Source organism: Homo sapiens, chromosome 8 (assembly GCF_000001405.40).
Source record: "Homo sapiens chromosome 8, GRCh38.p14 Primary Assembly".
Lineage (NCBI taxonomy): Eukaryota > Metazoa > Chordata > Mammalia > Primates > Hominidae > Homo > Homo sapiens.
Window position 1 is genome coordinate 64772756 of NC_000008.11, and position 26002 is coordinate 64798757.

The following is a 26002-nucleotide window of genomic DNA, read 5'->3' on the forward strand; positions in this document are numbered from 1 at the left end:
TAGGAATAAAAATCAAGCCTCACAATGGTCTGATTTTCAGTAAATATGTAGTTCCCTCACTTCACTCCCACAACACTGGCCTCCTTACCATTTGTCAGGGACATCAAGCAACCCACCTTACTGTCCTTGCACTGGCTGTACCCTCTGACTGGAATGCTTTCTCCACTGATATCCCATCTCCTCCTTCTCACTTTGTCCAATTATTTGCTCAAATATTACTTTCTCAGTGAGAGCTAATCTTACTACCACCCTACATAAAGTTACCACCAGTGCCACTTCCAGAACTCCAGATCCCTCTTACCCTGCTATATTTTTTCCACTGTGCATATCACTGCCTATATGATAATCTATGTATTTATTGTGCTTTAAAATTAATATCTGCTTATAATGTGAGCTCCATAAGTGCAGATATTTTTTGTCTGTTTTGTTCTCTGGTATTTTCCAAGCATCTAAAACAATGCCTGGTATATATTTGAAACTCAGAATGAATGATGATGGTTTTCAGCTATATCCTCTTTGTTTTTTCTGCTCATCAGCTTTAATTTCTTCTAATGTACACTTGTTTCTCTTTAGATAGGGCAAATAGCTGCAAACTATTCCCAGGCTCATATCTTTACAGCTTCAGGATCGCAGATAAATGGGATATTCCCTATCAATTGCAGTTTGAAAAAATCCAAAGTAAAATATTTTTAGGTCACACGCCTACTCTTCAGCTTTCCAATGTGCATGTTTACAATTGCAAAAAATAACAGTACAACAGGGTATCCCATAGACACTGTACATTCAAAATGTTCAACAAAGTAGGCTTATTCTGTTAGCCCCAAACCTCATCTTCTTATACTGTCTCTGTCTTGTTGAATAACCCAGTGCCTCAGTCCATTTTCTGTTGCTATAACAGAATACCACAGACTGGGTTACTTACAAAGAAAAGAAGTTTATTAATCTCACAGTTCTGGAGGCTGAGAATTCTATCAGCATGGCAATGGTATCTGGTAAGGGCCTTCTAGCTCTGTCATAACATGGTGGAGGGCATCACATGGCAAGAAGGCAAGAGCAAGAAAGCCAGAGAGAGCTCACTTTTATAACAAATCCACTCTCACAATAAATAACCCACTCCCATGGCAGTGACATTTATCCATTCACGAGGCCAGAGCCCTCATTAATCCATCAGTCCATTCATGAGGACAGATGCAACATTAAGTCATACGTAAGGGAAGTGGGATTAAGTTTCTAACACATGACCTTTGGGGGATACATTCAAACCATAGCACCTAGTACGGTCCTTCATATCAGAAGCCTAGTTCATCCTTATACCTTCCCTCTCTCCCACCTTTTTCCCACATCCAGTCCAACACCAAGTCCAGTAAGTCTGACTCCTAACAATTTCTCCCATCTAGCTAAATTATCAGCAATTGTTTTTCTGTGGCTTATCACTATCCTGATTACCTAGCATATCATGTAATGGAATTTCTGGATTATTTACGTACCTCTATAGATTTAGGGTTCTTTGAGGACAGAAACTGACTTTCATCTCTATGTAACCAGTAGCTAACAAAGCATGTATATAGTAGGTAGCCAATAAATACTTGTTGACTTGAACTGAAAGGAAGACACAAATGGAAAGACTAATAGATTAGGAAGCTGGATATTGGGGTATCAACAGTCCCTTTCTTTTGCCTTAGTGATTGTTGGAAAAGTCATGTCAATAGGAACAGTTGTTACTAGTAGCCTTAACTCTCCTCCTTGTGCAAGTCACAACTTCAGGGGATCAAGTAAAAAAAAACTACATATAAAAACACTGACAAATCTTGAATTTGTTAAGCAACCTTGAATTAATAGAACACATAAGTGTGAACATTGGGAGAGGGGTATAAACAGGTCCCATATTTATACTAGTCTTTGTAACTCGGCTATAACCCCCTTAGTGGCAGAAATCGGAGCTTATTATCATTTCTACTTGCCTCACGGTTTCCCATTGCAGGAGTTCAATAAGTATTTACTGAATAGTGCATATCTGCTTTCCTTCAAGGGTCTGGGCAATAAAACATTTCCAAAATCAACTGTTTGCCTCCAAAACTTCTTCTATCCTCAGAGGTAAAATAACTTGTGAGAAGTCTCACCTCAAGTAAGTAAGGGAGCTAGTATTCAAACACCTCCTTAACTCTGATTCTAAAGCCCTGCTCTTTAGCACTCTGCCATATCTTGACCTGACACATTCCAAACAAGTATAAATATAGATGGTCAAATATCTTACCTTCTCTGTTTCCTTTCTGTAACAAGAGTTTCATCCAAATTGTTTTTACAAATGGTTTTCTTGTCTCTGAACTGAGTTCCAATCTGATCTGAGTTCTTGTCTCTGATTTAGATCTCCAAATATCCTTAGTAAATAAATTCCATAAAAAAAAACACTCTAATTCTCTGAAATAGCATTGCTCCAGTCTTCAGATATGAGATGTTTTTCATGGCCTGAACTCACTCTAGGATTCAGCATCTTGTGATCCTTATACAGTGAGTCTTGAAACTATTGTTCTTGTTTGACAGGCAGTCTAAGAGGAATTCCAAATAACCACCTTAGCTCCAACTAAAGTGGAGCCAATGAGTTATATTCCTTATAGTAAACTGTGTATTCTCAGGTTTCTCGGCATTTTGGGAACTAATAATGACTATAAAGAAAATAGTCCACAGGCTTTGTTTTCCATGTTATGATTGGGCATTGATTTTATTTAAGGATAGTTCTTTCCTTAGTTACTAATGTATTACTTGTTGATGACCTACAATGTGCCAGACATTTTTCTAGGTGCTGAGGACAGAGAGATGAGTAAAAAATAGACCTTGATTATCATATTAGTTGCTGACATACTGGCCAGAGGAGATAATATATATTAACTGATAATTATAATACATTGTGATGTGAATTCTGACGTGCTGTGGGAACCTAGGGGAAGAGACAGTGAACTTTGTCTGGGAGAGAGCTGGGAAAATTCCACAGAGGTAGAGCATTTATGCTGAAAAGAAGGGTACCATCATGAAGTCAGAAAAAGGCATGGTGTGTTTGAGGACAGGCACATTTCACATAGCAGAAATGTATGTGATTTGGGGGGGTGGTAAATGTGAGAATAGTAATGTCCTTGTGGAATCATATCATTCCCAAATGATTATCTGGTTCAGCTTCTTCATTTACAGATGAGAAAACTGAGCCTTAGAGAAAGTTAGTGACAAATGTTGTCATGCCATTTCCTCTGCTGTGGGTGCTCCATTAATGCTTACTTCATAAACAGCATGGTCCTACTTTTTCTCTTTCAATAAGGAGATGTATTCTTAGTTATTTTATAGACCTGGTTGTAACTGTAGCATTCCAGTGAAGACCTGGAAACAGTAGTTCGAAGAGGAAAGTGCTTACTGCCATTGATGCTTCTTTACTTGATCTTACCAATGTTTCACAGACCCTGCAAAAAGTATGCTCTGGACAGAGCCCAAATTCTGGTCCTTTTCTAAAGTCATCCTTTGACAGAAATGCCGTCTCTGCATGTTTCTTGCTTGTTTTTCCTTTTGTTGATAATTATCTGTTCTAAAGAAGGAGGTCAGTTTGCAAATGCATCTATGCATATCCTAAATACAATTAGAAAACTTTAAGTTGCTGACAAATAAAGAACAACCAATTTTTCAGGATTAAATAATCTAGCATTATTATCAATTTGTCACACACAGGGCATGAGATGTCCCACAAATTTGATTATCCTAAAATACTTTTAAACCCTCTTGCCCTATCATATAAACACAGTACTTGAGACAATTCAATCGTGTTCCTTTTTATAAGAAACTAATAAACATGAAATGAGGAGAGGCATTACTCAGATGTGCTTTAGCAAGGGGTGGGGTTTAGCATATGCTCCCCCACAATATGGCAGCATGGCATTTGAGAAAACAGCAGAAGCAGCAAAGTCACTCTCATCTTCCCCTCCTTTCTTCTCCCCAAAGCAGGTCGTAAGACCTAGCTGCCCTTCCTCTAAAGGAGGTCATAAGACTTTAATTCCAGAGATACCCTCCCTACACCCAGAGGAAAGGAACAACCTTATCCTCAAAGACACAGAGATGCCAAGAAGAATCTGAACAGGACTTGCAAAGTGCCCTTCAGTTTAGATAATACCTCCTTGGTTCAATCATACTTTTGCACAATTGTCTACTCTTCATCAAACTTGTCAGAAAAATACATAGAATTTCCTGTTCCTTTGGGTCTTTATTTCTGAAGGGTCCTGTGTCATATCAAACTTATACTAAATAAATGTGCATGCTTTTTTCTTGTTAATATATCTTTTGTTATTGGGATCTCAGCCATGAGCTTAGCAATAGGTGAGGAAAGACATCTTCTCTATTATAGATCCATCATGTAAAAAGTAAACCCAGGTAGGGTCATTTTGTAAAAAAAAAAAAAAAAAAAAAATTAGAGGTGATTAAATACAAAAGGTGAGTAAGCATAATTAGCAAAGACATGAAGGGTAAGATGGGATTTTTGGCATATAACATGAGCACTATTTACAGAGCTGCTACCCAGAAATTTCATAGCAATAGCACTTACGCTATTTAATGCAATAGTTTATTTCTCTAGTAAAAAATATGCTCAAGCCTCAGCTAGGAAATTAACCACTTAAGTTTTTTCCCCATTTTTGTCTAATTAAGAAGTTGAAAACAATATTCAATGTAGCATAAAGGAATGCAGGTCAATTTGAGCCCTAAAATGAATAAAATCTGAGTAGCAAAATATGGCATATCATGGACCACGTGCCGACTATTTATTATTTATTGATGCAAAAGAAACAGCCCGAATCACATTGTCATTACAACTTTATTACATAGACCCTAGGAATGTTGTTAAATCTTATCTTCTGCACTTTACTAGTTAAAACGTGTTACCCATGGAATAAGTTAGAAAACTATATAATGGCCATGTTATCTATAACCCAAAGACTCCATCCACCTGCAGCGGGTTTCATCTCCAAGTCTCTGCTTCTGAAAACTTAAAGAGCCAAATTGTATGGTAACTCTAGAGATTAAAATAATCAGGGCAAATTCCATAAATGGATATGGAGAATTTCAGTATAGGAAAAAAAAAACACTGATTTGAATCAATTTCTGTAAAAAAATAAAATTTTCAAAGACTTTATTTTTGGATTCTTTCCCTTAAAAAGTAAGAGTCAGTTTAACTTTAAAATATGTCTTCTTTTTAAAATTGTGGGTATTATGCCATATACTATTGCCTGCAAGTACATCAGAGTCATAAATGCTTTGGTCAAAAGTCCTTACCCTTCTTCAGTTGACTGGTGATTTCATATGTTCTAGGAATATTTTTATCTTTTGGCATGATGCTCTACACCATATGGTACAACACACTGAGAAGCAAAAAGGGTAGAACTAGTTTGAAATATATATATATATATATATATATATGTATACACACATATATTTATACATGTGTGTGTATATGTAGTGTATGTATATACATATACTACATATACACACATATACATGCATGTAAGTGAAAGAATCTGCATGCATGACTACAAAGAAATATAAGGACAAAGTTTTGCATTCTGTATTCAGTGCTAAGATTCTTTGCCCATGTGAAAAAGGTCATTCAAAATCCAAAACAAGATTAAAAGTTTGCTATAGACCTGAAAGCAACAAGAGACATATCAGGAACCACTATGTTTTGGTACATAAAGTAATATTTGAACTGTCTGTAACACTTTCTCATTCAATATTTAATGCTGCTACTCTAAGTGCAATAGTAACTGCAGCGATGACACATGCAACAGCTTGCATAATCCATTTAGGAAGGATTGTTAAGATGAGAAACACACTAAACTGTCTATAATTAATTCCCAGGGGGTGAAAATATCCTTCCCCTTTGATTCCAGGTTCCTTCAATCTGGTTTTACTTTTGAAAACAAATCTTGAATCAAATTTTACAAGTTTTCAGAAAGACTGAGATGTGACTCTTGCCTGGCTACTACCCTTATGTCACAAGGCAACTTCCTGCATCTTCTCTCCTGCTTTCCATTGCATCTGACATAGGGCAGTCTAGGCACACAGTAGACCCCAAACCTCTACTAAGCCAGTAAGCAAGTGGATGCAATAGCCAGTAAATGGGATAGAGCAAAAAAGGCATTTGCCAATGTTGACCGTCAAGTGTGGCTTTCACACAATCTAGTGCAAGAAGGAGACAGCAGACCATTTTTGCCTGCTTTGTTCTTAAGCTTAATATATTCTTTTTAAAAAGTCCAAATGTGTGTAAATGTGTGTATTCATATCATACTTACATTTCTTCTAGCAATGCTTAAAATGTACTAGCTCTTAATATTTTCATTTTTAGTAAAGGGGGAGTGCAAATGTCAGAACATTGTTTTAAGAGAGATTTAAAAAGAATACAAAAAAGGAAAAAACTTAAGAAGTTAAGTTTGAAGTCAAACATTGTGAGTTTGAACTGCATCACATTAGAAACATTATTTAAATAAAACTGACTTTCAACCTCTATAAAATGAGGAAAGTTATCATAAGAGGATTCAATAAAATTCAATACAATAGTGAATATAAGACACTTTCCTCTATGTATAATAGGCTCATAGACAATTCTCAAAAGTGTTGGCCATCCCTATTACAAGTCAAAATCAATTCTATAATACTATATACTTACTGTAAAAAATATAAAAAGGAACCAACAATATTGGAGTAGCCAGTGCTAAAGTGACATCTACTTATTATCCAGAGAAGTTAATTCCTTTACATTCTAGCCCTAAAGGACAGCACTACTGAAATACAATACTACAACACTAAGTTCTCCATGCCAGTGACCCAACAGTAAGCCTCTTGCCTTCCTGGGATAAGATGATTTGAGTATTCATAGTTCTAAGATACAGCTAATAAAAAGCACTGCTTTCACCAGGACAACTTTGGTTTTTCAAACAGAAAACTAGTCTTTTAAATGGTTTATGAGCTCTCATCCTACTATTATTTGTTTCAAGTGTACTAACGACCAAATGTGTGTAATTCTATGTGATTACCAAAAACAGGCGCAGCCCTTTCACAAAGGAGTTCCCATTTGTTAAACAGCACTATCTACCTATGCCAGGAAGCAGAATCTTAAGCACAGTTATACAAATCCAGTACCTAAACATGAAAGTCCAGTACCTAAACCTAAATATGTACTGTTATACATATTTTTAAACTGAATTTTCAGATGCAGGAATGTTAGAGGTCATCTGTACTTCAGTTACTGTGTGCAGTTAGGTTTATGCAAAACAAGTCGTTACACTAATATGTTCTCCATTTATAAAATATTCACAATTAGGTAAGCATTTGCTAATGAAATCTTCAGTTTTTAATGGAACTGCAGAAAATGTGGTTTTATGACATTAGGTTTCAATTTGTATGCAGTTTGTATTTTTGATATCAATATCTAGAACTCTAAAATATTCATATTGGAAAAAGATAACAATTACTGTACCAAACTATTTATTCATTCATTCACCCTTCATTCTTCTAACAAATATTCACTGAGAATCTACTCAGTGCCAGATACTATGCTAGGTGCTAAAACTAAAGTAAAGCTTCTAAAGTTTCTTCTTTATTAATGTCAACTATTTAGGATGAAGTTATGAGGAGAAATGACAATGAATTTAAATCCTGTTATGGGTGTACTTTTGTTAGGCTTTCTATTATTTTTTATATTAAGCAATTATAGACTTAATTAATCCTTTCCACTTTCCTATATAAAAAAAAGATCCCATCCCAAATACTTCTACATTGAAAAAAATGCCAAACCCATAAAAATGAGCAATTCAGCTATAAAAATGCATGATATAATAGATGTCACCTTCTCTTATTCAACAAAGTAACTTTCTATAATTTTGTCCTTTGCCTTTCACAGAACAGTAACCTGGAGTAGTTTCAATGGGATTTTACTTTGTATAAAGCACAAAAACCTCCTACAAGAAGTTGTTAATTTTTCTTCTGCGGATGTGGCTCTCTCTATTATTTTTGGGAAATCGGTGAAGTACAACTCCCATTCCCTTAGATCCCTTCAAATTCTCAGAGTCAAGCTCAGTTTTCTCCTCCAGGCTGCAGGCAACCATAAGTAGGTATGCACCGGGTTTGGGCAAGAAAAAATCTCCTAACCAAATCATATCTGAGTCTCAATACCTTCAATGTCTGACTTATTTTCAAAACGATTTTTAAAATTCATGGAGTTGCTAGATGCATAACAAACATTCAAGACTTACTTGTGAATCTATGGGTAAGGAACACAGAAATCAATGCTAATCTGTGACCCCATGATAATCTGTAAAATCTGAGACCAAAAATTCTCAAATGATGATGTATTAGCACAGTGGCAAAGGCACTGAGTATTTATTACAGAATGTTCACTTTCCATCCTGCTCCTCATAAGTAACCAGCAAAGTCCACCAAGGTCCAATCTCCCAATCTTTTTCACCCTTTGAACCTCCTTGCAAGAGGCAGTGTAGTTTAAGGCAAAGAACATGGGGAATATGGCCATTACACTAGTTTTCTAAGAATGTTATAACAAATTACCACAAATTTAGGGGCTTAAATAACAAAAGTTCATTTTTTTTACATTTCTGTGGGCCAGAAGACATGGGCCTCACTGGGCTAAAAATCACAGTATTGGCAGGGCAGGTATGGCTGAATTCCTTTCTGGAGGCTCCAGGGAAAAATCTGTTTCTTTGCCTTTTCCAGCTTCTAAAGGCTGCCTGCATTCTTTGGCTCAGGAAATACTTCATCCACCATCCATCTTCCAAGCCAGCAAAAGTCAAGTATTTCTCAAATCATATAACTCTGACCTCCTTTCTCTGCCTCCTGTTTCCAGTTTTAATAATCCTGATTCCACTGAGCCCTCTCAAAAACTGCAAGATAATCCCCTATTTTAAGGTCAGCTGATTAGCAACCTTCATTCCTTCTGCAACCTTAATTCCCCTTTGCCATGTAACCGAACATATTCATAGGTTCTGAAGGTTAGAATATGGCTATCTCTGGAGCTGAGAAGGCTTTATTCTGCCTATCACAGTCTAATGGATCTACAACCAAAAACCCAGGTCTATTCCCAAGTAGCACAGCACCTTAATCTTTTATTATTTTAGTCTTTTCTTTTGAAAATTGCTTAATAATAGTTAACCTCTTGAACATGAGTGAGGATAAAATGAGACAATAGATGCAAAATATCTAGGCACAGAGGCTGGCACCTAGGAGGACCTCGATGATGTTCATTTCCATCTTCCCTTACCATCCTCTCAAAAGTCACCATTTGTATTAGAGTAGAGCTGAATTTTGGATCCATGTTCATTTTAGCTTTATAGCCATGCTCTTTGCCCACCATGACACCACTTTCTGCAAGAAGGTCCCAGTGTAGGGAAAGACTGAGCTGCAGACGACTTCACATACACAAATTGCCAGCTATGATCTGCCTTTCTGCATCACCCCAAGATTCATATGTTGAAACCTAATCTATAAGGTGATGGTAACAGAAGGTGGGGCCTTGGGAGGTGTTTAAGTCATGAAGGTGGAGCTCTCACAAATGGGATTAGTGCCCTTATAAAAGAAGCCCAACAGGTCCTTTGCCCCTTCCTCCACATGAGGGCACAGTGAACAGCCACCATCTATGAGGAATGGGCCTTCATCAGACACAGCAACTGCTGGAACCTTCATCTAGGACTTCCCAGCCTCCAGAACTATGAAAAATAACTTCGATCTTTCTAATCCTCCCAGTCTATGATATTTTTATTAGAGCACCCAAACAGACCAAGACAGTGCCCCACATTATTAGGTGAGCACTCTAAGATATTCTTCTGATAGAGATAAGAGATTTATGCTAATCCAACATAACTTTTGAATTGATTTTCTGTTATGACAAAACAGATGAAGTGTTTAAAAGGAATAACCAGGATTTACCATTAAAATGTGATTACAGAATTGAGCAATCTCCAATGTTGATCCAATTAGCACTCCTGCAGGTCCCATGAATCATTAAATGGTTATTTTGAATGAAATACAAAATAAACAACAAAATGTTTTATTTTAGGGTCATCATGTTTTTATTACACAATGAGAATGTTCTCTATCTTAGGACCATTTTTTAAAGACAATGTGTAACAGTGAAGCAAGCCAGAAATCTGTCTCAAATGGTAACAAGAAACAATCTAACCTCTGGGCTTTATAAGGAAAAGCATAACATGATGCACTAAGTGATTCTCTATTAATCAAGAGCCACAGAGGTGCCTGCAGATCTCCCTGTCACTTCCTTTGAAAAACACAAAAATCCACCTGTTAAGTTCAGCATACTCTTGAATAGAAAATAACTTTACTCTCAGCTGTCCACATCCTTTTCCTATATTTTATTATAAGAAAAGGGGAAGAAACAAGAAAAACATCCACTAATGATGGCAGCCTGGTTCTTCCCATTCCCTGGGCAGTGGTAACAATGTGAGGGATCTAGAGCACGAAGGATCTTGCTTGAGAGTAATTAAGTAATTAGAAACAGAAATAATTGACTTATGTGATACAGTGATGTCAACAAATCAACATTTCAAAACAACTCATTATCTACATAACCTTAACATCTCAGAACTCAAAAAAATCATTAAATTTTTACTTTGACTAAAACTTATCTTAACAGCATTTTAATCTTATTTCTTACCAATTACAGCATTGGAGAGGGGAGTATAATGATATGTATGTCGGGTGAGAGGGCTGAAAGAGAGAAAAAATTCCATACTACTTTTTTTTTTTTTTTGGTCCAAATAGCAACTAAGAGGAAAGAGTTTCTGGTTAGTGCCAAGGAAACCCAATGTGCAAGCTGACTGTCCTCTAAGCTTTCAAATAAGATAACCCATGATAATCTGGTATTCTGAGCTTTACCTCATGTCCTCAATTACAAATGACAAGATCATTCCTGCTTCCAGACAAAGCTTTGCTCAGAGAAATGGGGACTTGACAATAGTTAAAAAGATCAGTGTTACTCAAAGTGCAGGGCTAACTAGTATAAGTCACAAAGAGACAAATGCAAAGCCTGAGAGTAAACATTTAGAAAGTTTTAGACCAATTTTAGGAAGTCTCATTCATTACTGGTAGGACTGCAAAATGGTACAGTTAATTTTACAGAACAATTTTAAGTCTGTTCAATTTAATAATTAAGAAAAATCCTTTAGGTTTGTATCATTTTTAAAATTTTATTTTATGAATCATTTTTCTTAATTTACCAAGGTATCAGTCCTTGACAGATGCAAATTAAAACAAATATCAAGAAAACCAGTCTTTCATCACAGCTAGTTTGAGAAGCATCACAATAAAACATCCCTCACAAATAGAATAGGCAAAGAGTAGTGCCTCAAAGGTACTTGCTGGCAGAAATAATTTACTGTGATCACAGATTACTTTTATCATGCTGAATAGGTAACTGATAATGCAGCTAAGTAGAGACAGCAGGACTTAGAACAAAAGCAAGTAAACACAAAAATTGAAAAAGAACAAATACTTAATAAGTCCTTTATAAATTCTGTGCTTACAGACTAATAGTCTGCCACTATATTCCACCATGATAGCATTTTCACTAGTTGAGAACTACTGATATATTTTTCAGTATCCTTTTTGCCATTTAATATTTATAGTGAACTGTTGACTAGAGCCTCAATGGCCTTTAGGTAACAACTCAACAGTAGAATTCTCTGGATGTCTTGATTCTTCAAGAAAAGTCTCAGTATAACTACCATATATCAAGCACCTAGTATGTATCTGGTACTGGCACATACTTAATGTATCATGGTTCAAAAAAATTAAATACTTTATTCAGGATAACAAAATGAGTAAGAGATGGAGCCTAGATTCAAATCCAGGAATGTTTGATGCTCTTGCCACTATATGAAGCTGCCTTTCATCAGAATAATGTGCAAATATAACTCTGAACTGAATCGCACTTATTTTGAATAGTATAAAACCTCAGTTGCTAACAAGAAGATCAACAGAAAGCAGGGAAACACTTTACGAAAAAAAGTTAAAATAATATGACAGTGACTCCTTATATACAACATCAAAAGCAGGTTCCATTTAAAAAATAAGAAATTGGACTTGATTAAAATTAAAAACTTCTCTTCTGCAAGGACACTGTTAAAAGACTAAAGATACAAGGCAAAAGCTAAGAGACAGTATTTTCAAAATATCCAAAATATACAAAGAACTCTTACAATTCAATGATAAGAAAACAACCTAATTTTTTTAAATAGGCAAAATATCTTAACAGAAACCTAACCAAAGAAGATATATAAATGGCAAATAAGCATATGAAAAGATACACAACATTCTATGTTATCAGGGAACTGAAAATTAAAACAATAAGTATCACTTCACACCTATTAGTATGGCTAAAATCCAAAACACTGACACCACCAAATGTTTTCAAGCATGTGAGAAAAAAGCAAGTCTCATTCATCGCTGGTAGGACTGCAAAATGGTACAGTCATTTTGGAAGACAGTTTGACAGTACTTTTACAAAACTAAACATACACTTACCATGTGATCCAGCAATGTTGCCCATGCATACTTACCCAAACGAGTTCAAAACTGAAGTCCACATAACATCCTGCACATAAATATTTTTAGCACCTTTATTCATAACTGCCAAAACTTGGAAGCCATCAAAATGTCTTTCATGTCTGTCAGTGAACAAACTGTGGTACATCTATGTAATTTAGAATAATTGAGTGATTAAAAAGAAGAGCTATCAAGCCTTGAAAAGACATGGAAAAACCTTAAAGGCATATTGCTGAGTGAAATAAGCCAATGTGAAAAGGCAGCACACAACATGACTCCAACCATATGACATTTTAAAGAAGGTAAAACTAGGGAGACGGTAAAAAAAAAAATCAGTGGTTGCCAAAGGTTAGGTAGGTAAGAGGGAGGGATGAATAGCAGAGGCCAGGATTTTTAGGGCCATGGAACTATTCTGTATGATACTGTAACTGTATTAGTTCATTTTCATGCTGCTATGAAGACATACCCGAGACTGGGTAATTTATAAAGAAAAGAGGTTTAATTGACGCACAGTTCCACATAGCTGGGGAGGCCTCAGGAAAACTGACTATCATGATGGAAAGGGAAACAAACACATCCTTCTTCACATGACAACAGAACAGAGAAGTGCCAGCAGGGGAAATGCCAGACACTTATAAAACCATCATATCTCATGAGAACTCACACACTATCATGAGAACATTATGAGGGAAATAACCCCCATGATCCAATCACTTCCCACCAGGTCCCTCCCACCACATGGGGGGATTATGGGAACCACAATTCAAGATGAGATTTGGGTGGGGGAACAGCCAAACCATATCATTCTTCTGCTGGCCCCTCCCAAATCTCATCTTTCTCACATTCCAAAACACAATCATGCCTTTTCAACAGTCCCCCAAAGTCTTAGCTCATTCCAGTATTAACCCAAAAGTCCAAGTCCAAAGTCTCATCTGAGACAAGGCAAGTCCCTTCTGCCTATGAGCCTGTAAAATTAAAAGCAAGTTAGTTACTTCCTAGATACAATGAAGCTACAGGAATTGGGTAAATACACCCATTCCAAATGGGAGAAACTGGCCAAAACAAAGGAGCTATGGGCCCCATGCAAGTCCAAAAACCAATAGGGCAGTCATTAAACATTAAAGTTCCAAAATAATCTCTGTTGACTCCATGTCTCACATCCAGGTCATTCTGATCCAAGATGGCCTTCCATGGCCTTGGGCAGCTCCACTCCTGTGGCTTTGCAGGGTACAGCCCCCCTCCCAGTTGCTTTCATGGGCTGGCATTGAGTGTCTGGCTTTTCCAGGTGCTCAGTGCAAGCTGTCAGTGGATCTACCATTATGGGGTCTGGAGGATGGTGGCCTCCTTCTCACAATTCCAATAGGCAATGCCCCAGGAGTGACTCTGTGTGGGGAATCCAACCCCACATTTCCCTTCTGCACTGCCCTAGCAAAGGTTCTCCATGAGGGCTCCACCCCTGTAACACACTTCTTCCTGGACATCCAGGTGTTTACATACATCCTCTGTAATCTAGGCAGAGATTCCCAAATCTCAATTCTTGACTTCTGTGCACCCACAGGCTCAACACCACATGGAAGCTGCCAAAACTTGAGGCTTGCACCCTCTGAAGCAATGGCCCTAGCTGTGCTTTGGCCCCTTTTAGCTACAGCTGGAGCTGAGGCATCTGGGACACAGGGCATGATGTCCTAGGCTGCACAGAGCAGTGGGGCAGGGGTTAGGCCTGGACTATGAAACCGTTTTTCCCTCCTAGGCCTCTGGGCCTGTGATGGGAGGGGCTGCCATGAAGGTCTCCAACGCCCTGCAGACATTTTCCCCACTGTGTTGGTGATTAACATTCAGCTCCTCCTTACTTATGCAAATTTCTGTGGCAGGCTTGAGTTTCTCTAAAATGTTTTTTCTTTTCTATCACATTGTCAGGCTGCAAACTTTCCAAACTTTTATGCTCTGCTTCCTCTTGAACACATTGCCACTTAGAAATTTCTTCCACCAGATACCCTAGATCATCTCTTCCAAGTTCAAAGTTCCACAGATCTCTGGGGCCGGGGCAAAATGCCACCAGACTCTCTGCATAGCAAGCATGACCTTTACTCCAGTTCCCAACAAGTTCCTCATCTCCATCTGAGACCACATCAGCCTGGACTTTATTGTTCATATCACTATCAGCATTTTGGTCAAAGACATTCAGCAAGTCTCTAGAAAGTTCCAAACTTTCCCACATCTTCCTGTCTTCAAAGCCCTCCAAGTCTCTAAGAAGTTCCAAACTTTCCCACATTTTCCTGTATTTTTCTGAGCCTTCCAAACTGTTCCACCCTCTATCTGTTACCCAGTTCCAAAGTTGCTTCCATATTTTTGGGAATCTGTATAGCAGTGCCCCACTCCCTTGGAGCCAATCTACTGTATTAGTCCATTTTCACACTGCTATTAAGACATACCCAAGACTGGCTAATTTATTTAAAAAATAGGTTTAATTGACTAACAGTTCTGCATGGCTGGGGGGCCTCAGGAAACTTACACACATGGCTGAAGGGGAAGCAAATATGTCCTTCTTTATGTGGCGGCAAGAGAGAGAAGTGCCAGCAGGAGAAATATCAGATGCTTAGAAAACTATCAGATCTCATGAGTACTCACTATCAAGAGAATAGCATGAGGGAAACCAGCCCCAAGATCCAATCACTTCCCACTGGGTTCTTCTCATGACACATGGGGATTATGGGAACTACAATTCAAGATGAGATTTGGGTTGGGGCACAACCAAACCATCATTAGACATTTGTCAAAACCCACAGAATGTAAAACACAGAAAGAACCCTAATGTAAAGCATGAACTTTAGTTAACAATGATGTATCAATATTGACTTCTCAATTGTAATAGATGGACCACACTAACACAAGGTGTTAATAGTAAGGGAATTGAAGGAGTGGGCAGCGAGAGGTAGGGGTGAAGGGAGTACAGCAGGTCCCCAGATACCATTGTTTTTCATTCAATGTCATTTTGTGATAACTTGATGAGAAAAAAATATCACTTCAACCAGGGGGCAATATCTGTGTGGAGTTTGTTCATTCACCCCAGGTCTGCATGGGTGTTCTCCAGGTACTCTGATATTTTTCTCACATCCCAGAGCTGTGCACCTGAGGTTCGTTGCTGTGCCTAAATGGTCTCCATCTAGGGGACTGTGGGTTTCTGTGAGTGGCCCCTGTGATGGGTGCTGTCCTGTCAAGGGCTGGCTCCTGCCATGCACCCACAGTTGCCAGGAGAGGGTCTGGCCACCTGAGACCCTGAACTGGAATAATTGGGTAAATAATAATCTTACTTGTTTTTATTCATCTTTCTTAAATGTATGTATATATCACATTTATTTCAATGTTTAAAATTACAAGTGTTTTTGGTCCTTATTTAGAAATTTTGTGAGGTTTTGTGACCAGAAATATGCTATAGGAACTTAACTCTTGTTTATATCAATTAGCCTACTGTAGAATATACAGTGTCTTGCTTAAAGTTGCAGTTTCCACCCAAGAATCCAGATGATGTTAAGTGAGGACTTACTGTATAGGGTAGCTTTTTGTACTTCGCACTCTTTTTTCTTATTTTCAGATGCAGTCTCACTCTGTCGCCCAGCCTGGAGTGCAGTGGTGTGATCTCGGCTCACTGCAACCTCTGCCTCCTGGGTTCAAATGATTCTCCTGCCTCAGCCTCCCGAGTAGCTGGGATTACAGGCACGCACCATCATGCCCAGCTAACGTTTTTTATTTTTATTTTCAGTAGAGACAGGGTTTCACCAGGTTGGCCAGGCTTGTCTCAAACTGCTGACCTCAAGTGATCCACCCACCTTGGTCTCCCAAAGTGCTGGGATTACAGGCATGAGCCACTGTGCCTGGCCATACACTCAGTTTTTTTTTAAGCCTAAACTGCTCTAAGAAAAAAAGTTTATTTTAAAACAAAAATGTATATGATTCATAACCATACATCTCAAAATTTTTCTGTGCTCATGACTACTTTTCATGTCAATCATGAGAAATTTTGAGAATATTCCACTGTATAAGTAAAAAGCCACTCATCCATATCTAGGATCTTGATAAGGCAGTAAGAGTCCCAGTGTTTTACTATCTGACTTATAATTCATACCTACTCCAAACTGGGAATTTCCCTCTAACTACAAGCAAGCCTTTGCACTCAGAAGATGACTGTGGGCATGCCCTCCACTTCTTCAATGCAGCGGTTCTCTACCCTCACCCAGAGGATATTTGACAATATCTGAGGACATTCATTATTTTCATGGAAGGGGAGGGTGTGCAACAAGCATCCAATAGATAGAAGCAAGGAATGCTGCTAAATATTCTACTGCAAAGGACAGCACCCACTACAAAGAATCATCCAGCCCCAAATTTCCAGGTTGAGAAACCCTACTTCAATGTAACACACAGTGCCAAGATGACCCACTGCTTGTGCAGGTGGTGAATCGCCACTCCAGATGTTTAAATAAATCCACATCTCCATCTGGGGACACAAATGAACCTGCAATGCATAAGAAAAGTTTCAACAAGAAAAAGATGTCAAAGACTGAACTCAGAAGAGGAAGCCTCAGCACCTGACATTTCTCAGATTATCTCAGAGAGAATCCTTCCTTCAACATGATTCAAAGGATCCATGAACTGTGGTGACCACTGAGCAGTCTACGGAACCTAGCTGAGTCACATTTGTCAACTACAAAATGGAAATGACAGTTACTAGATAGATGTAAGAATCAAAGCACGTGAGAAATGTGAACACATTTTGAAAAGTGTAAGGTCCTATTTACACAAACAAGCAATAACCAAATCTTCTCTGAATAACATTAAGGCTAGAAGACCCCAAATCCTGTCATTTCTAATTTCCAATGTTTGATCTTCTGGGCCAACACCATACCCCACATTCAGGATCAGTGTTCTTTCCTTATCATTATCACTTGAGCAAAATAATAAGGAAAGTTCACTTCCACCTAAAGGCAAGCTTGAAAATCCATAGGAATAAGGCAGCCAAAGGACCCTAGGAGATTACATTTAAAATACTAAAAGGAAAAAATCTGAAACTCATTTACTCTGTGGTGTGAGTGTCCAGTGAGAAAAGTCGAAAGCTCCTTGCCCCAAGATCAATGTGTTTTAGTAGGAATCAAAGCCTAAAGCTAAAGGAAGGACATGCTTAGCTGTATGAGAGAGGGGTGCTTTGAAATACAATATGCTTTTTATTCTTTAAGCCATAAGTTATCTATTTTCAACTTTCCATAAGGTCACAATGCCTGCCTAAATCATGAATTAATCAAAACGTTTAACTAACCATCACTCCTATTCCTCCAATGTGCCCAAGAGTGTTTACAATATCTGATTAGTAGAAATAAAAATCTTAGACTCACATAAGAAGAATCTATTTTTTCAAATGATGCTGTTATGGGTTGAATCATGACCCCTCAAAACTCATATGTTGAAATCCTAACCTCTAGTACCTCAGAATGTTATTGTAATTGGAAATAGCATCATTACAGATATAATTAGTTAAGATGTGGTCCTACTGCAGTAGGGTGGGCCCCTAAAACAATATAACTAGTATCCATACAAAGAGGGGAAATGTAGACACAGACACAAACACAGGGAGAATTCTGTGTGAAGATAAAAGCAGAGTTCAGGGTTAAGCTTCCACAAGCCATGATATAACATAGAGTCCAGAAAATCACCAAAAACTGGGCAAGAGGCATGGAACAGAATCTCTCTCTCAACCCACAGAAGAAAGCAACCCAGTAAACACCTTGATCTTAGACTTCTAGCCTCTAGGATATGAGACAATAAATTTCTATTGTTTAGACCACTCAGTTTGTGTGTGGTATTTTGTTAGAGCAGCCCTAACAAACTATTACAGGTGACTATCAAGCAAAAGCTTTAATAAGGTCATTATTGATATCAAAAGGTATGGTAGGGAGAATAATGGCCCTCAAATGTCCATGTCCTAATTCTTGAAGCCTATGAATTTGGTGCTATACATGTCAAAAGGGACTTTACAGATGTGATTTAAATTAAGGATCTTGAGATGAGAACATTGTCCTGGATTATCAGCACGGGCCCGAGGTAATCACAAGAGTCCTTATAAGAGGGGAGTGGAAATGTCAGCGTAGGAGAGAGATTTAGAGATGCCATGTTGCTGGTTTTGAAAACGGGGGAAGGGCCCATGACCTAGGTCTTGGTGGCCTCCAGACGCTGGAAAAGTCAAAGAAATGAATTCTTTGTGAGAGCCCCCAAAAGGGATACAGCCCTTGCTCATGCTTTGACATTAGCCCAGGAGGACTTCTAACCTCCAGAACTGTAAGAGAAGAAATTCTCTGTTGTTTTAAGCCACTAAATTAGTGGTAATTTGTTATAGTAACATTAGAAAACTAATATAGATTTGTGGTACCTGGAAGTAGTGTGCTGCTGTAACAAATACCTAAAAATGTAGAATTGGCTTTGGAGTTGGGTAATGGGCAAATGCTAAAAGAATTCTGAGGAGAATGGTAGAAAACTATTTACTGGAACAAATGGTTAGTAGAAATCTGGACGTCAACAACCCCCTTGGTGAGAGGTCAGAAAGAATTAAGTAAGGGGTATGGTAAAGAACATATCTTAAAAAATAGTTAAATCATCAAAAATAAACAGTAGAAATAGGAAATGTTAAAGGCACTGCTGGTGAAGGCTCACATGAAATGAAGAACTAAGGAATGTGTTATTGGAAAATGGAGTAAAAGGGATCCTTATATAAAGTTGCAGAACTCATAGCTCTATTGTGTCCTAGAGTTATGTGGAAAACAAAACTTGTAAATGATGAACTTAGATATTTAGCTGAGGAGATTTCCAAGCAAAGTGTTGAAAGGTTAGCTTAAATTTTTTTCTCACTATTTATAATAAAATGTGAAAGGAAAGAGAGAGATTAAGAGAAGAACTGTTAGGCAAAAAGGAACCAGGAATTGATGATTTGGGAAATCGTCCACCTATCCAGATTGCAGAAGGCACTAATATTAGGAGATTACTAATATTAAAGGCACTAATATTACTGCGAGGAAACAGTGCTCTGCATAGACAGCTAAGGGCATAGCTGGACAACTTTTGCTAGCGGTGGGAAGAATCAGAAACCCAGTTCAACCCATCATACATACTCATTCATTTGTACTGAGTATTTAATCAATTGTTGAAAAGATTAGGGAATAATCTTTTCAATGACTAATAGTTGCCCTCAACCATGTCAGCAGAAGCCAGGATTAGAGATGGGATTATCCAGAAAAGATCTGGAGAAACAAATCTCTCAGGAGTGAATCTCTGTGACACACAGGGGAGGCCCACAGAGTTCTTTGGAATTTTACCCCCAAGATGGATCATACACAGATCCTCGCAAATACGTGATTGTGATGATTTAGATGATGAGATCTGGAACTCTTAAACAGATGAGATTTTGGACTTTGAGCTGATACTGTAAACGGGTTAAGAATTTTGGGTCTATTTGGGATGGAGTGAATGCATTTTTTTTAATGTAGGATGGACATGAATTTTGGGGGCTCAGAGGGAAGACTTTGTAAGGCAGAATATGTGATTAAGTTAAGGATCGTGACAAGAGGATATTATCCTAAACTACCTATGTGGGCCTGGTGTAATCACAACTGTCCTCATAAGAGAGAGGAAGGGTGTCAGAGTAGAAGCAAGAGATTTGAATTTAAGTGGCACCTAGAAACTGAGAGAGGCAAGGAAATGTATTCTCTCCTAGACGGTCCAGAAGGAATACAGCCTTGACAGCACCCTGCATTTAGCTCACTAAGGTCTATTTTGGGTCTCACATCCAGAATTGTAAGTTAAAAATAAAATCTGTTATCACCCCCTCTCCATCATATTTTCTGTAAATACTTTCCCCTCTTCATTATAAATCTTTTAATTCTGGTTTAAGTGTCTTATTTTAAAAAGATTTTATTTAATCCATTTTTCATTTATTTAAAGAATTTAAACATCTTATATTTATTTTAATTGTTTCAGAAAAACTATTTTTTTTCATTTTTGTAGGGATTGAGCAAGTAAGGAAAGAATGGAGACATCTTTGTTTTCATGTTTGTCTTTTGCAATGTAGATTATTTTTATATGTTATCTTCAACAACAATTTGGGAAGTGGGTATCTGTACCTAAGTCTATTATGATACACAGTGATTTAAAAATATATCTCATTATTGGACAAAAACATGTTATTAATGACTTGCTGTAGATGAACTGCATTTCGTAACACATCCAGTTCTAAGTAAGAAGTCTTCTATGGGAAGGACTACCCATAAGGCTGGTCCTTCCAATGGAAATGATAATTTAAAACACTTTAAACATTTTTCTCAAAGTTTATTTTAAATAAAATATTAAAATAAAATTTTAAATGTATTATTCTTTCTGTTTGTAAAAGAATACATATTTATTGATATCAACTTAAAGATACATATAAGCATAACAAAGAAAAGAAAAACCATCCCATAGAAATATGTCACCTAGATATAACCACTGGTAAATGTCTTACATAGAATTTGGATTCCAGAAATGGCAAAGTTGCTTGAACCAACCTAGCATTTCCACAGAAAACAAAATACGAAACAAAAAAAAAAACAATCAACCAATTTATACTTGCTGAAGAATAGGCAAAAGAAGGCAGATATCAGAAGGGAGGCAACCCTTAAAGAACAGACCAATATTGAGTGAGGTCCAGGGGTGGACAGGATTGCCCCTGAGGGCAGCTGGAACTCAAGGAAAAAGCCACAATATTATCAGCATGGGGTGTCAGAGTTTGGGGCTACTGAAGTGGCTGGCAATCAAGGAGAAAAATCTAGAAAAGAAGGAGGCACTTCAGAAATCTCTATATATACACCCCTCAAATTCTTGGCCAACCCTGGACATGTGCATCTTCAGGGAAGACCCCAAAAAGCCCAGCGGAAGGGATCTGCTGGAAGTCTGCACAGAGGCTTCAGCCACTGCCCACCACTGGGGTGACAGAGTTTAGGGTTTGAATTTCATCTGCCTTAGTCAATTCAGACTGCTATTGCAAAATACCATAAACTTAATGACTTATAAACAGCAGAGATTTATCTCTCACAGTTCTGGAGCCTGGGAAGTCCAAGATCAAGGCACAAGCACATTCAGTATCTGATGAGGGCCCACTTCCTGGTTCATAAATGGCCATCTTCTTGCTGTGTCCTCACATGGACAAAGGGGCAAGGGAGCCCTTTGGGATCTCTTTTATAAGGACACTAATCTCATCTATGAAGGCATTGCCCTAATGATCTAATTATAACCCAAAGACCCCACTGCTTAATACCATCACCTTGGGAGTTAGGATTTCAACATATGAATTTTAGAGGGGAAGCAAACGTTCAAACCATAGCATCACCAAAGAAGAGAGAATCTGTAAATATCTCAAGCTTTTCATAGATTCACCTTGACAAAGAGTAAAACTAAGCTTCCATGAGTTCAGAATAATTAGCCAGAAATGTATCTGCGTGCTAAAACAAAAATCAACACTTCATAGGAAAAAAACAAAATCCAAAATCCAGAAAGATAGTGCTTCCAATCAATAGACTGGCATTATTAAATACTGGCAAGGATGTGGAGCAACGTAAACCCTCATGTATTACTGGCGGAAGTGTTCAGAAAAAAAAAAGCAACAATTACTTCGAAAAGTGTCAATTTTCCGAAATGGTTGTGGATAGAAAACTCTATATTCTATGCCCCTCAATCTTCTCTCAATCAATATGTTATATATATTACAAACCACAATTAAATAGAATGAATGAACTAATGATAGATACAACAACATGAGTGAATCTTAAAATCATTATGTTGAGAGAAATAAGTTATACGCAAAAAAGGATACTGTATAATCCCATTTATATGAAGTTTGAGAATGAGCAAAACTGACTCAGAACTCGGGTAGGAACTGACTAGAAAGGAGTGTAAAATATTTTCCTCTTTCTCCGCCAGGCTCAGTTTCCATAAGGAGAGTGGCCCAGGCCCTCCTCTTCTCCATCAAACCCTTTCATCAGGCGATCTCAACTTGTTCTTGCTTTAATTCCCACTTCACATTTATGGCTTTCACAAATATGTATCCTGCCTGGACCTCTCCCCTGAGCTTTTGGTGCTCACTGCCTATTTAACATAACCCAAAGAGAATTATTGATTTCCTCAATTCTCCCAAACCTTCCCTATCTAAGGAAATGATATTACCGTTCACTAAATAATCAGACAAAAAACCCAAAACCAAAAAAAAGGGAAACAAAACTTCTAAGCTTCATTGTTGATTCCCATCTCTCTCACACATCATGTTCAGTCCATTAGTAAATTATGTTGACTCTGCTGTCAAAAATGTATCCTGATTCTAACCACCTTCCATCAACCCCACAGTCACAACCCTAGGCTAAGCCACTGTCATCTCTCCTGACAAGTACTGCAATGGCATCTGTGATTGACAGTCTCACCAGATAATATCCAACAAGGGAAAAGACAATTTCACAAAAGGAAATCAAAGTACTGTAGCCAAAAGAGGTGGAATTGGTAAGTGTCTGAAGGGAACAAATGACCTCTGAATTGATTTTTACCGATTGTTAAAAATTTTTTTACCATTTTTATAGGTAATATTTAAATTTTTACTTTGGAACATCTGGCATTCCTATACTATGCAATATTACAAACTTTTCAGCCATAATTGTTCAAAAGATGAAAATGGAATGAGAATAAAAATGTAATCTATGTATGTATAAAAATCTCTCAATGTGATAATGGAAAACTGTGCTGAATATTTTTATCATGTTAGGAACAAGAAGGGCTTTCTAAGCAAGGACATATATCCAGAAACTCTTAAACAAATGCAAATTACAATAGTAAAAATAATTGCAGCTGGTATGAAAGAGTATGAAAATTCCCATTACATAAGAGTCTTTGCTGATTATATAGAAAAAGAACCCAATAGAAAAATAAATTATTGAAGAAACAGACAATTATTTTCTTTAAAAGTATACAAATTCCTTTAAAAGTAAATACATGAAAATTTGGGATAAAAATGAAGCTGCATTTTCTTTATGTATCAGATTGGCAAAATTAAAATGATTTATAATACCAGTATTGGCAGAATGTGGAGAAATTGGCACTTGCACTACATTAGTAGTAACATAAATTGAGACTTAGAGTAGTTTGGCAACATCTATTAAAACATAAAGCACACATACATTTTGATAACAACTCCACCATCTTACATAAATATTTCCACAAAAGCTCAAAGATATCTATGTTTTGTGTGTGTGTTTTTGTGTATCTATGGTGTATATTTATATAATCATTACAAATAATGACTTCTATAAACTGACATAGGAAGGGATCTAAAATGTATTGCAAAGTGGAAAATATAAGGTGCAACACAGGGTATATTTCCCCACGATTTTTATTAACATATATTCATGCATATTAGCATAAGCTTTAAAAAATCTGTAAGAATATATCAGGGACTCTTAACCATGTTTCTGTTCTTAGAGGTGATATCTGAAAAATCATTTTCGTAGAGCATTAGGGTAAACTATCCAAACATTAGAAATAAGGAACATGACTCTGTACTGGGACAAATGAAGCTATCTTCTATACACTGAAATGCAGTATAATCAAAGTAGTGTCCTATAGATTTGGGGCATTAAACGGTCTTCCTGGTATGAAGGAATTGGCAGTTGATGGCATGAATATCTCAGTAAAATAATTTTTCATGATATAGAGAAAGATCAGCCTATTCTCAGAATGCTAGAAGAGAAAGCCTACCTTGCCCTTTTGCCTTCCTGTCCCTCAAGTTCCACATTCTCACACCAATCACCTTCACTGATCTAAACTGCCCTAGTCAGCTTGTCTGTTTCTACCCTGCATGTAAAGTGGGAATAGAACCAACAGCCTTCTTTTACCACCTCTCTTTAAAGGCATACCTAGGGGTGCATCTTAACTGGCTTGCAAATGCAAATAGAGACCCTGCAAATAGAGAAGGTGGAACCTACATAGAATCACATACCACTGAAGTTCAAGTGTCCTGAGTCCTCATCTTGGGCTCTAAAGCAAAAGTACAGCCATTGGAAAAGGCAACCTGGAAGCGCACATTCCAGGAACATCTCTGAAAACTGACATGGGAAGAAAGGCAAATACTCCTAGAGTACTCATCTCCAGGCATTCTAGAAATGTCCATAGATATTTGTATGCAGTACAAAGGTGTCACTTCCCCCAAAACTATTGAGAAACAACCTGTATCACACACACATAGATATCTATACATTGATACATATGTATGCAAATATACATACATATATCAATTATCATCCAACAAAATGCATCCGCTTGGTTCTCAAAAGCGATGAACACCAGAGCAGTATGAAAATAGGACCCAGAAAGAAAGGAAAAACAGATTAAACTCAAAGTGAATGATTTTATCTGAACTTCTCTATTTCTACTTCCACAATTCAAATTAAAGTGACACACGTCTAGATTTTGTCATTATTGTGTGTTTTGTTTTGTCCTTATAAAAATGATAGGACAACTGCATAAAATACTCTCCATTAACTCATTTAGTACTCACAAAAATCTCACGAGGCATGTACTATTATTTCAGCTTTCCAAATGAGGTACAGTGAGGTAAACTGAGGAAGAGAGGCACTCAGAGTTATTGTTCACACCATGCACTGGCATTTTCTTGAAACAGTTCTCTTTTAACTGATGAAATTTAAGAATATTCCCCTCCTGAAATGCTCTATGAATTCTAGGCCATAAAATATCAACTCGCAGTGGCAAGGCACACAATGTGTCTGTGATGCATAATGCATACCGCCAACCTAGGGCTTATTACAACTTACGCTGGAGCAGCAAATGGAATTCGGTCCCAAAGCTTTAATATGTACGCGTATGTGTGGGAAAAAGACAGAAGAAGCCTTTGTTATTACAAAGTCCCAAAGGAAGCCAGTACCCCGCAGCAAGTTCTGACTGTCTGCACTGGAAATCATGGAGGGGGACTCCCCTCGCCATCTGGGTCGCGCGCGGCCCGCGGGGCCCAGGGCGCATGCGTGGCCTGGCGGCCGAGGCGCTTACCTGGTGCGCCGGACAAGCAAGCAGAGGGCCAGGAGCAGCAGGGCCGCGGCGAGGGCCAGGCCCGGGAGGCCCAACCGCTCCAGCGAAAAGCGGCCCGTGGCCGCGGACACTTCTCCTGCCATCCGGCGCGCGCTAGGCCGCGGTGGGCAGCCCGGGGTCTGCCTGCGAACAGCGCGGTCGGCGACTCTGCAGCCTGCGGCGGCTTCTCTCGGCGGCGCCCCCTAGTCCAGGGCCGGAGAGGCTGGCCTGCCCGCAGCGCAGACAGGAATGTCACCGTGGTCTCCCAGGCTGA

At 38.0% G+C, this 26002-nt stretch overlaps 1 protein-coding gene across 2 annotated transcripts in view, besides 2 other annotated features; it reads right to left on the bottom strand.

Annotated features, from left to right (window-relative positions):
- Positions 1-25982, bottom strand: part of CYP7B1 (cytochrome P450 family 7 subfamily B member 1) — a 212163-nt gene extending 186181 nt beyond the window's left edge. For both annotated transcript variants that reach the window (NM_001324112.2, NM_004820.5), the window contains exon 1: positions 25711-25982. In NM_001324112.2, coding sequence (NP_001311041.1) covers positions 25711-25832 — 122 coding nt within the window. In that variant the 5' untranslated portion in view covers positions 25833-25982. The remainder of the gene's footprint in view (positions 1-25710) is intronic.
- Positions 25780-25889: a silencer, noted in NCBI's record as "silent region_19243". NCBI's record gives its function as "represses an Ori minimal core promoter by ATAC-STARR-seq in GM12878 lymphoblastoid cells {active_cell/tissue: GM12878}" and the evidence as "EXISTENCE:reporter gene assay evidence [ECO:0000049][PMID:35858748]".
- Positions 25900-25949: a silencer, noted in NCBI's record as "silent region_19244". NCBI's record gives its function as "represses an Ori minimal core promoter by ATAC-STARR-seq in GM12878 lymphoblastoid cells {active_cell/tissue: GM12878}" and the evidence as "EXISTENCE:reporter gene assay evidence [ECO:0000049][PMID:35858748]".